The following is a 13,306-nucleotide window of genomic DNA, read 5'->3' on the forward strand; positions in this document are numbered from 1 at the left end:
ACCGCAACCTCTGCCTCCCAGGCTCAAGCAATTCATCTGCCTCAGCCTTCCAAGTCACTGGGATTACAGGCGCGCACCATCACACCTGGCTAATTTTTGTATTTTTAGTAGAGACGGGGTTTCACCATGTTGACTGGGCTGGTCTCGAACTCCTGAGCTCAAGTGATCTGCCCAACTCGTTCTCCCAAAGTGCTGGGATTACAGGCATAAGCCACCATGCCTGGCCCATACTTTCTTTGTAGCCTCCACTCTCATTTCTGTCTACGTCTTCCTGCCTTTCCAACCACATTTTCCCATTGCTTTTGCAGATTCTTCTCATTTATGTCTTCTCATCACTTTTTTTTTTTTGAGACAGGGTCTTGCTCTTTTGCCCAGGCTGGAGTGCAGTGGCATGATCATGGCTCACTGCAGCCTCAACCTCCCAGGCTCAAGTGATCTTCCCACCTCAGCCTCCCAAGTAACTGGGACCACAGGTGCACACTACCATGCTCGGCTAATTTTTGTATTTTTTGTAGAGACGAAGTTTTGCCATGTTGCCCAGGCTGGTCTCAAACCCCTGGGCTCAAGCAATCTGCCCTCCTCAGCTTCCCAAAGTGCTCAGATTACAGGTGTGAGCCACGGCACCCTGCTTCATCACATACTTCTCCCTATAATCTGCCTTACAGCATCTGTGGAGCAAGAGAGGACGTAAACAAGTCAACCACCAAAAAGAAGGCAAAGGAAGCAAAGCAGGATGCACCAAGCAACTCCGACGTGTCAGGTGCCATGCCAGGTGCATTGTGCAGGTTCCCTCACTGGCTTCTTGCTTGAGCCCTACCGAGTTCATTCCTGCTTTGCCACCTTCTAGCTGGATGACCTTGACAAGCAAGTCGCCTCGACTCTGAGCTTTTATATCCTTGGCTACAAAATGGAACTCTATTGGCTACTATTGTTATGAGCATTCCATGAGCTAGTGTATGTAAAGCACCCACCTGGCACATAGTAGACATAAAATAAAATCTGGCTGTTATAAAGAAACACAAGGCTGGGCACAGTGGCTCACGCCTGTAATTCCAGCACTTCAGGAGGCTGAGGCAAGTGCATTGCTTGAGCCCAGGAGTTCGAGACCAGCCTGGGCAACATAATGGGACCCTATATTTACAAAACATAAAAAAATTAGCTGGGTGTGATGGCACACACCTGTAGTCCCAGCTACTCGGGGGGCTGAGGTGAGAAACTCTGTTGAGCCCAGGAGGTAGAGGCTGCAGTGAGCCATGATCACACCACTGCACTCCAGCCTGGGCAACAGACCAAGACCCTGTCTTAAAACAAAACAAAACAAAAGAACCACACACCCTCCCAGACACATAGTAGGCCCTCAACAAATGTTAGCATCCTCACCTGTGGAATGTGACTATTGGTTGTTGTGAGGTTCAGGTGAGCCACAAGAGGCAAAAATCCTGTGCCCACCTTAGGACAAATTTTTCCTTCTCCCTCCAGCCTGGATTCCAGCCATTCCAACAAGCCCCTGCCTCTGCAGGGCTTGCGGCGGCAGCACGTGAGCCGTGCCACAGGGTGGGTCTGTCTGCAGGCTCCAGGCCTGAGTTAGCATATCTCGGGGCGGGCTCCCCATGCCAGCACAGGTATCCACAGGAGAGACAGCTGGGCCCTCGTTAACAAGGTGTCTCCAGACCTTATTTGGAATACGTCAGCTACTGTGATTAAAGACAGTACATAAATGTCAGCCTCGCCGGGCCCCAGCCCCAGCTGGTTTCCGGGGAAGGAGACCAGAAAAATATGTCTTCATTCCTTCTGTTTTACAGCTTAGGCCATGATGGCTTTATACAGAGCGAGTTCACCGTGGTGGAAACCTGCGCAGGTCCTGCCAGGCGTGGGGAGTGGGAGAACAGTCTCCCATTGAGCCCCCCGCCAGGCCAGGCCTGATTGTCGTGTGACCTGCAGTCACTTCTCCCCTTCAGAGCCTCGGTTTCCTCATCTATAAAATGGGGACATAATATATGTGCCCATGGGTTCTTAAGAAATAAAGATCACCTTTGGAAGCTGCCCAGGGTAGTCCCTCTCCAGGAGCAGGCACTCACTGCAACCAGGAAAACACAAAAAGGGGCACACTGGGGAATGGAGCTGCCCACTTTGTAGACACAGGTGCTCAATGAATGGCCCTTTCCTTGGATCCAAGTGGGGAGAGACTTTGACATTCTCAGTGAAACAACATTGAAAGTAGGTAATTGGGGGCAAAGTAAGGTGCAGGAGCACTGCTCCCAGAGTCACTGACTCACTGTGTGACCTCAGATAAGTGACTCCAGTCTCTGGGACTGGGTTTCCTCATCTGTAAAATCCCTGGCCCGGCCGGGCTCTTCCTTTTGGAGCACTGTGATAAGGCCAATACCTGGCCTCAGTTTCCCAATCTGTAAAATGACGGGACTGGACCAGATGATCTCTGGCTCATCTCAGCTCAGGCACATGGAATTTTTTCCAGGAAGTGAAACAATGGTCAGGACTAGGCTGCGTGGAAAAGGGAGATTTCATGATTAACGCAGGGGCAGAATCCCATGGCAAGAGAAGCCGTTCTGGAGAGTGGGGTTATGTACCTGAGGTCACACAGTGCGTAGGTGACTCTGAGACCAGTGCTCCTGCCATTCCTATGGCAGGAGAAGCCCTTGATGCTGTTGGAGTCCCTCAGGGAGGCAGAAAGATAAACCCAGGGCAGGGAGAGAGCTCACCATGCTGCAACCCGAGCACCAGACAAAGGTAGCCTGGGAGACCTGTCTCCCAGTCCCAATGGCAGGATGAGGGCAGGGGAGGGGACTGGAGATGCCTTTTCACAAATTGCTTCTGAACCTCAGAAAAAGAGAATAGCCTGGCACCAACTTTGCTCCTCCCTTGTTCCAGGTTTTGTTCCAAACACTTTACACATCTTCACTCATTTAATCTCCATGAGGCAAGTGTGACTGTTATGCCCATTTCACAGATCTGGAAAGTGAGGTATAGGGAAGTAATTTGACCGAGTCCTCACAGCTAGCCCACGGCAGAGCTGGGGCATGGACTAAGACAGTCTGGCACTGAAGCCACTCTCTTGAAGTATCAATGATGAAGAGCACCATTTAATGAGCACCTACTATGTAACAGGTGCTGTGCTGGCTTCCTTACAGAATGATCTTCATTAACTGGGACAGCATTCTTACGAGGACGGCACTTTGTTACTCACATTTCATAGAGGAAGAAATGAAGGCCCAGAGAAGTGAAGCACCTGGCCTTGGTCACAGAACTGGAATGTGGCTGAGCTGGGATTCTGACCCAGGGCCCAGGCCCCTTCCATGCCACCAGGCTGGACAGGACCCCCTCTGCAGAAACTCTGAGTAGAGGCTAAAGCAAATGTCAGGAGACAGAACACAGCTATGTCTTGTGTAGAATGGTAGGAAAGTCTGTCAGGTGGTCCCGGGACAAGAAAAGGCATCCAGAACACAGCTGGGTGTTGGGGAGATCCCTATGAAGGATGTCTGGGGGCTTTGAGGGGCTCTGGGGGGCTTCAAGGGGTTCTGGCAAGCTTCACACAGCATCAGAGTCGTGAAGGCAGGTCCTCTGATCGAGGGCCTGCTGTGTCCTGGGCACTGTATTAAGTGCTTTGTATTCATTATTGCTCAATTCTTACCGTGGTAGGAATGGCATAGATCTCATTACTATCATCCCCATTTCATGCATAAGGAACTGAGGCTCACACAGGCTCACACTAGTCCAGGGTCACATAGCTAGCAAGAGCCAAACTCAGGTCCCCCCGTTTAAAAGCCAGTGCCTTTCCAATGGGCCAACCCTTCCTTCCCAGGTTCAAAGTGCTCAAGCCACCCAAACCGCATGGCTCAGGATCTGGTGCACGGCAGGTCCACGGCCTTGCCCCTTCCTAGCTCCATCCCAGGACCCTGAAAGGGTTAACTTCCCTGTGGCCCCAGGTCCGTCCCTGTCAGCCCACCACCCCTGCCCCTGCGTTATGAGGACCAGACCAGCTCTCGCTCCCGGCAGCTGACGAGTTCTCCGCTCAGTGGTTCGCGCTCCAGATATTAAATTACTCATAAAATATTTGACCTGTCCCCAAAGTGGCTGCTGCCTCCTCCCTGTGCCCACTGCTCACTTCACAACAGAAGGTCACACTATTCCATGGGGGAGGGGCCCTTGGAAAATGAACCCAACTTCATCTTGGGGGATCTGGGAGCCCAGGAAGGGGTAAGCTCTGGTAAGGTTGGGATGTTCCAAGGGCAAGGATTCTGTCCCCCATTCTGGGGCCCCCCGGCCTGGCCTGAGCAGAAGACTATGCCCCCAAATCTCCATGCTGCAGGGTACAAAGAGCCCAGAACTGCTGACTGCCCCGAGTCCCTCAGGATAAGGCCAAGGGTGACCTGGAATAGGTTCCCATTGTCTGAGGGACGAGTGGTCTCTCCTCTCCTCCTCCCTCCCCTCCTCAGTTGCCATGGCAACCACAGTGGGGGGTGGGAGGCTGGACCGCTCAGCTCCTGGCCGGGCTACCCGGCATGCTCTGCTTTCACCCAGTTTTCTCCCTCGTTGCCCCTTGGCAGGCAGGGGGTGGGGCAGACCCAGCCCTTTCACGCAGCGGAGGGTTTGCAGCCAAGGAGCATCACCTCCCGTTCCCTGCCTTCACGCAGGAGGTTTTCCGGCATGGCCCCCAGGAATAGGACTTTTCTGAGTATGGTTTATCAGATAATGATTTTGGGGAGGGGTCTCTCTCAAGCCCCCTGGAGTTAATGAAGTCAGTTAAGCCCTGGGATTAGAAGGTCGGGGTCATGGGTACAGCCCATGTTTGCAGAGTAACGCCCCACCCCACCCCTAGCTCCCACCAGCTGTTTCAGAAATGCCTAATGCTGGTCGTCTAGGGAACTAGTGAGAGGGTCTGGACAGGACATGGCAACCTCATCCTGAGTACCCACAGTCACAGTCCCTCAGAGTATATACCCCGCAGCCTGGGCATTGGGAGCCTCCTCTCTTTCTTCCTGCCCCCTCATAGATGACACATTTTTCATAATAGTAGTGTATATATTACTAGTAAGTTCTTATCACCCTGGCCTGGAGTTTCATAAAGTAATACTGAAAGAAACTGGGTTTAGCCTTTGTCGTGGCTCTACTTGGGGTACACTGCCACCAGGTGGCGGTAGGCACTTTCCAACTACTCCCTGAGATTCCAGAAGATGATATTCCACTTTTACATTCCACCACCACAACCTATAAAATGCCATTGCTTTTTTACTTTTATATTAAGATTACAGGACTTTATAAATAGCCAAAGTTAAGGAGGCTTTAAACAAACTCTATGTTTTGGTAGTATAGCATAGCAGACAGCACAAACTCTAGAGCCAAACTGCCTGAGTTCAAATCCTGGCTCAGCCACTTGCTAGCTAGTTAACCTTGGACAAGTTACTTCTCTGTGCTTCAGTTTCTTTATCTGCAAAATGGAGATGATGGAAAGCAACTCCCTCGATGCATTGTTTTAAAGACTCAATGAGTGAATGTACATGAAGCATTTAGAACAGTGCCTGGCACAGAGCATTAAGCTCTTTAGAAATGTTGGTTATCGATATTTAAAGATGAGCATAAGGGAAAAGTTTCAAAAACAGTTCATTTTGAGACCCACGGACATATCTTTCTCTGCTCAATCTTTTATCTGGTGTTTCTAATCTGGTGATTCATTTCAGGGCTGCCCTGCTAGACACCCATCATCTGCCCAGATGCCTCTTCCAGCTCCCTCAACCCCACATTCAAGCCCATATCCTAATGCCTTTACCTCCCGGGTGTCTGTGGGATTGTCCCCTGCACGCCCTGTGCACAGCCACCCTGATCTCATTCCTGAACCACTGCAACTGTCCCCCTGCCTCTTGCCTGCTCCCCTCCAACCATCTTCTCACCGCTGCCACAGTGATTTTTCTAAAACAAAAATATGCCTCTACTCAAATGCCCTCCATAGCTCCCCAGTGACTCAGTATCAAGTCCAGGCTCTTCAGGTAGGTCCGTCTCCTCATCTCCCACTCCAGCTTCATGCCCCCATCTCCACTGTCAGAATGCCATGCCCTGGTTCCAGCTGCCTCCTTGTAGTTCTCCCAAAGCCTTGGGCTCCCAGGCTCTGTAGCCTGGGCAGGGGCTGCCTCCTCTGTCTGCATCTCTTCCTTCCTTCTCCTGCCTGCCCATCTCCTGCCTGCTAAGCCTCAAGATGTAGCCCCTGTCTCCCTTTCCCTGGGAAGCACTTATGATCCCTCCACGGCCTCTGAACCGGGTGCAGACCTTTCTCGGCATGCCCAAAGCCTCTGCATGCTGGAAAGGGGCTGTCTCAGTTTGTTGGTATCACCAGAGATGCCCTGCACACAGCAGGCCCTCAGAGTACCTCTAAGGAATGAATCCAGAATGTCCATTTTGCCAATTCGGCCTACAATGTCCTCTTTCCCATCTTCTCCGTCCCAGCATCTCTTTCTAGGTCTGGCTCAAATATCACCTGTTTAGGAGCCTCCTGGTAACCCGCACGCCCATGTCATCCCTGCATTAACTATTTCACTCTCTCCTCAAAGAGGCAAATGCAATAGGCATGAACTTGACATGTGTGGAATGAATGAACAAATGACCAGGATTATGGTCTAGACCAATGTTTCTCAACCGGGGTTGGCATCCCCCCAGGGGACATTTGACAATGTCTGGAGACCTTTTTGGGGTCACAGGGTTGCTACTGAGATCTGGTGGTGGAGGCCAAGGATGCTGTAACACCTCCTGCAATGCACAGGACCGCCCCCAACCAGAAGTTATCTGCCCTAAATGTCACTTTCTCAAGGCTGAGAAACTGGGCTAGAGCTTGTTGCCTACAAATCTGTCTTCCTAGTACGCAGAGGGCCCCAAGCACTGAGCCTGATCTTATTTCTCCTGATTTTCTCAGTACCCACCGCAGAGCAGGCACGCAACAATTTTTTTTTTTTTGACACGGAATCTCGCTCTGTCACCCAGGTTGCAGTGCAGTGGCACGATCTCGGCTCACTACAACCTCTGCCTCCCGGGTTCAAGCAATTCACCTGCCTCAGCCTCCCGAGTAGCTGGGATCACAGGTGCACGCCGCCACATCCGGTTGATTTGTCTGCATTTTTAGTAGAGGCGGGGTTTCACCGTGTTGGCCAGACTGTTTACGAACTCCTGACCTCAGGCGATCCACCCGCCTCGGCCTCCCAAAGTGCTAGAATTACAGGCATGAGCCACTGCGCCCAGCCAACAGTTTTTCAAAATAAGCTCATGGGTGACATAATTCTTGTCCTTTTCCTCTCCCCAGCTTCCACCTCTCACTAGGAGCTTGGCCTCAAACTATTGTCAAAAGCCCCTTCTGGGACTATTCTTGCTAAGTCCCTCCAGTTTCTGCTGCCCCCAACCTTCCCTTTCTCAGATTCTCCTGGTCCCCACAGCTACGCGGAGTAAACTGGCAGGAAAGGAAGACCACATTTCCAAGATGGCGGGGAGCTTTGCTGGGCTCTGGGGACCCTAGGAGTCAGTCCTGGTTGGTGACTAACTTGCTGTGTGACTTGGCTGAGTCACAGACCTGTCTGGGCCTCCAGCTCTCAGTGAGGTGATGGGGGCGTGTAGACAGACCCTCTCTGGGCCTGCCCCCTCTAAAGGACGGTCCTAGCAGTCCCCCCGACTCCCAGCACCTCTCCCCTGCATGCAACAGTGCTCCCTGGGAAATTCTGGGAGGTGGGAGGGAGACAAGGATTCCCCCGTCTTTCCCCAGCCCGGGTGATCCAGGTGCTCCCGGCTCTGCCGCGCACTGGGGTGCCACCGTCTCCAAGGGCGCCGCTGTCAGCTGTGACCCCTGCGCCCCCAGAGGCGGCCAAACAAGCGGCCTTTGTGGTCTGTGCGTTGGCGGCCCTCGGGGAGCGTCACAAAGGGTGGGAAGAAAGGCCGCCAATCCTCTTAGGGCCAGCCGCCCGCTTTCCCACTGCGGCCCATCTGCTCCTGGGGAGCGGGCATAACCGCCGCCTGGCCCCACGGCGCGCAAAGCAAGCAAAAGCTGCCCGGGAATGAAAGGCAGGGGCCCGGGCCAGCCCAGATCCCCACGGCAAACACAGGCCTGGCCGGGGGCCTGGGAGGGGGCAGGGCTGATCCCCGGGGGAGACCACGGTTAAAAGCGCCGCCCCAGGAGGGGGACCCAGGGCTAATCCCCTCCTGCCCCACGCCTTCCCTTCCCACACCCCTACAAGGGGAAGGGGAAAGGCAGGGAAGGGCTGGGATCAAAGGTCCTTCCTCCTGTGCCAGGCGCTCAGTGGGGCCCTTTCTACGCACCCCTATCTTTTCCTTGAAGCACCCTATTTTACAAAGGGGCTCAGTAAGGCTAAGTCACTTGCCTAGGGTCACCCAGCTGCGATGTGGCAGAGCTGGGATCTCAGCGGGAGGCTGAATCTGAATTCTTTCATCCACGTAGCTGAAGTTTGCTGAGTCTCTCCATTGCCATGGGCTCTACAACCATCTCCATTGCTTACTGCAACTCTTTTAACAGATGGGGAAACTGAGGTCTGTAGGCAGGTGGTGATTGCCCAAGAGCACAGACCCGATCAAGTCCTGGCTCTACCATTCCTCTGCATTCTGGTCCCAACCCCCATCACTCATGTGCAAGCTTGGGCTCTGCCAGCCCCCAGCATGGGCCCTCAGGCAGGTCACTTCACCCCCAGGAGCCTCGATTTCCTCCTATGGAAACTGGGGATCTGTGAAGGGCGTAGTTCTGAGGGTTTGATGAGATGATCTGCTAAAGACTTTAGCTCCTGGCACACAGTAGGCACCCAATAATGGCAGCTGCTATTGTTATTACTTGGCCCAGAGCAGGATGGATCCCAGAACAGGAAGAGAAGGAAACAAAGAGTTTCCGCTCACTAATGGCTGGCCCCAAATACTCCTTTTTTCCATGGTTGGGGTTGGTTTGGCAGAGTAAGGAAGGAGCTGGAGAGAGGGGGAGGGAGGCAATGGATGCGTGGGAGGCCGCAGCAGGGGCCCAGGCTGAATCCACCCAGGGAGGGGGCTATCGACCAGCTGCCCCACCTCCCACCCACGAGAGGCCCAGAGCCCAGGCGTGGTGGCATCCAGGACATCAGAGCCCAAATGCTGCCTCCTACACACACACACACACACACACACGTGCACACACACGTTTGCACACACACACATACACTCATACATGTGTGCACACACAAATATACACACATACACGCGCATACATACACATACACACATAACCATACACATGCACACACACACCCCACACACATACACACACACATAACCACACATGCACACACCCCACTCCCACACACACATGCACACACATACCCCCCACATACACACACACACAACCACACATAACCACACTCACCACAAATACATGCACACACACATACACACGGACATACATATGCACACATACACTCACACGCACACTCATACACACAGACATACACTCTCACATACACACACAACCACATACACACATATCCCCCCACAGAGACACACATGTACACACACATACACACAGACATACACACTCTTACACACACATAGCCACACACACCACAAATACATACATGCACACACATGCATGTACGTACACACATACACACAGACATACACACACACACATAATCACATACACACACATCCCTCCACAGAGACACATACACACATGCACACACACACACACAAACCACACACCACACACAAATACATACACATGCACACACCCATACATACACACACATACACTCACACACATATACACATAACCACATACACACACATATCCCCCCTGAGACACACATACACACATGCACACACACATACACACAGATATACAAACCCTCACACACAACCACAACACACACCACATAAATACACATGCATGCACACACACATGCACATATATACACAAACATGCACACAGACATACACTGTCACACATACACACAACCACGCACACCACACAAATACACACATGGACACACACACACATGCACATACATATACACACATATACTCACACCCCCACAGAGACACACACATACACACATGCACACACGCATACACACATGCACACAGACATACACTGTCACACACATACACGCACATAACCACACACACCACACACAAATACACACATGGACACACACATGCACATACATATACACACAAATACTCACACACATATACCCCCACAGAGACACACACATGCACACATGCACACACACACACACATACACGCACACACACATACACACACACAGACGCGCGCGGCCCCAGCTCTGACTGTTTTGCAGATTTGGAACCTGAGGCTTGGGAGAGGGGCTGTGGCTCACTGAAGATCACTTGGCTCTTGAGCATGGCCCAGGCCCCTCAGTCACCCTCTCCCATCTCTCAGTGGGATCTGGCCCTGAATCCCACCAGCCTTGCTCCATGCCTTGTCCACCAAGGAGCCACGCAGGGGACAAGGGCAGGGGACAAGGGCAGGGGACAAGGAGGTGAAGGTCCCTATGCTCCTGTCGAGCAGGCTGAGTTAGCCATTCTGCCCCGGGCATTCCCCTAGATCTGGAAATGGGTTCTGCTCAGAAAATGGAAATGAATCCATTATTCATTCTCTCTTTTCTCTTCCCTTCCTGCCTCCCCGTCTCTCCCTCCTTCCTTCCATCTTTTCCCCCTGCTTGCCCTCTCTTTGTCTCTTTTTTTTTCTCTTAATGTCTCTTTTAATCTCTCTCACATTCACCGTCTTTCCCCTTCCAGCTGCTCCTCCCCCAACTCTTGCCCATGACACGGTTCCCAGGGAACCTGACGGTGTGGCTTTGAGCCTGTTTCTGTTCCCCTCCATATACCAGGGGGTTGTTGGGAGCTTCCCCCACTGACAGGCCCCCTCTGGGGTATGGAGGTACAGTTAGTGCAAGATAGGCCATGGTTTGGGGTCAGTTCCAGCCCTGTCACCAACCTTATGTAACTCCTTTTCTTCTCCAAGTCTTATCTCTTCCTCTGTGCATGGAGTGGGCACACATGAAGAACACGGCCTCCACAAGTGCCCTGCCCCCAAGAACCAGAGCCACTGAGCCCTTTGAGGGTTGCATAAGAACTGTATTCACCTTTGAAAATGGTCCCTCCTCCAAATCTTAGTGCCTGATGTCCTGCCCAAAGCTGTCAGACTGCCCCCCTCCCAGAGCAGAGCACAGCAGAGCAGGCCTGGGGATGTCCTGACTCGGACTGACTCCAAGATGTCACCACTAGACCAACGCATTCCCAGTTAACCTTGGCCTTGGAGGGTGAGAGGTCACAGAAATAAGCGAGACCAGGAGTCAGACAACCTAGGTTCTAATCCCCCCTCTGCTTCATGCCTGGCTGAGGGTGTTGGAGAAGTCACTTTACCTCTCCTGGCCTCATTAGCCCTCATCAGGGAACTGGAGCTAATTGCTGATTTGTGCTTGAAACTAAAGAAAGGGAGGTTACCAAAGAAACTGGCACTAAGGTGGCATTTTGCTGAATTCATGGATGGGCTAATTTATGGACCACAGATTGTCTGCTCTACCCAGGCCCTTTCTACTTAGGGGGAAACTGAGGCTGGGAGAAGGGAGGCAACCTGCCCGGGGTTGGCAGCGAGTGGCAGCAGTGCCCAGACTTGAATTCCAGCCAGACGTTTAGCAGTTCCTCAGTGCAGGCTATCAAAGACAGCCGATTCCAAAAGGGAGATCAAAGGCCTGCTTCCTTATTTACAAAGAGAAGTCCTCATTAAAACATGGCCAACGGCTGAGGCGGCTGTGGAGATGGGCCACGTGTGTGCCAACAGAGAATTCACCATCCCAGACAGACTGTGCTGAGCGGCAAGGGAGCCGTTCAGTGAGTCTGTGCTAGGGAGAGCCAGCCCTAGGGTGGGGTAGTTAGGGAGGGCTTCTTGCAGGAGGACTGGGCTCAGGCCAGCCTCACAGGGAAGACGGGACATCTGGGACATCCAAGGAGAGCTGACCGCAGCTACCTTTTTTTTTTTTTTTAGCTGGAGTCTTGCTGTGTTGCCCAGGCTGCAGTGCAACGGCACTATCCCGGCTCACTGCAACCTCTGCCTCCCAGGTTCAAGCGATTCTCCAGCCTCAGCCTCCTGAGTAACTGGGAGTACAGCATGTACAACCACGCCTGGCTAATTTTTGTATTTTTAGTAGAGACAGGTTTTCTCCATGTTGGCCAGGCTGGTCTCGAACTCCTGGCCTCAAGTGATCCACCTGCCTCGGCCTCCCAAAGTGCTGGGATTTCAGAAGTGAGCCACCGCACCTGTCCCACAGCCACCATTTATTGAGCACCTACTGCATACCAAGCACTGACGGTAACTCTGAGAGGCTGGGATCCTGTCCCCATTTTCCAGGGGAGGAAACAGAGGCACAGGACCTGCCGGGGGGGTTGCCACAGGGCAAGCCAGACCCCACTGAACCCGGCTCTGGGGTCTCCATACCTCCAAGCTTGTCGCTTCTGGGCTGCACTGCCTCTTCAAGGATAACATGAGCCACTGTGTGTGTCTGGGGGTGGGAACATGGTCTGTCACCAGAGTCATTTGTCAAAAGCCAAATGCGTGGGTAGTGGGGTGGAGGGGACCAAGGAGGGCCTGGCTGGAACAGCAGGTTGGGGCTGGACTAGACAGATCCTCCCAGCATGCAGGGCCCAGGGTTCTTTGATTCGACGGAATCCTTCGTGAGTATCTACTACGCAACAGGTACTGTTCCAGACATGAGGGACACAGCAGCGACAAAAACAGATGGCACCTGGACTTATGGAGTGGATCCCTTGAGGAGAAGGATGAAGAATAAATCCATAAATAAATACGATCATGTCTCATTTCAGATGGTTATCAGTCTTCCAGAGCTGCTGCAATAAGATAACACAAACCAGGTGCTCAAAACAACAGAAATGGATTGTCTCGCAGTTACAGAGGCTGAACGTCTGGAATCGAGGCATGGGAGGGACCTGCTTTCTCTGAAGACTTGGGGAAGAATCCTTCCTTGTCTTTTCCAGCTTTCGGTGGCCCCGGTGTTCCTTGGCTGGTGGTGGAATTGTTCATATCTCTGCCTCTGTCTTCACATGGCCTCTTCCCTGTGTCTTCTCCTCTTCTTAGGAAGACATCCCATTTTACAGAGGAGGAAACTGAGACTCGGAGGGGAGAAATAACTCACCCAAGGTCACACAGCCCAGGAGTGGGGGCCAAGATGGAAGCCAACTGTGACTGATCCCCAAGTGCCGTGGGGGTACCTGGACTCTGTACTCCATGTAAGGGGAGGCT

At 52.6% G+C, this 13,306-nt stretch overlaps 2 annotated features.

The window, feature by feature from the left end:
• Nucleotides 7,954–8,476: an enhancer, noted in NCBI's record as "H3K27ac-H3K4me1 hESC enhancer chr1:23003627-23004149 (GRCh37/hg19 assembly coordinates)". NCBI's record gives its function as "activates a minimal SCP1, AML or CMV promoter by ChIP-STARR-seq in primed H9 embryonic stem cells {active_cell/tissue: H9 hESC(primed)}" and the evidence as "EXISTENCE:reporter gene assay evidence [ECO:0000049][PMID:30033119]".
• Nucleotides 8,509–9,047: an enhancer, noted in NCBI's record as "H3K4me1 hESC enhancer chr1:23004182-23004720 (GRCh37/hg19 assembly coordinates)". NCBI's record gives its function as "activates a minimal SCP1, AML or CMV promoter by ChIP-STARR-seq in primed H9 embryonic stem cells {active_cell/tissue: H9 hESC(primed)}" and the evidence as "EXISTENCE:reporter gene assay evidence [ECO:0000049][PMID:30033119]".

This window comes from Homo sapiens, chromosome 1 (assembly GCF_000001405.40).
Source record: "Homo sapiens chromosome 1, GRCh38.p14 Primary Assembly".
Taxonomy (NCBI): Eukaryota; Metazoa; Chordata; class Mammalia; order Primates; family Hominidae; genus Homo; species Homo sapiens.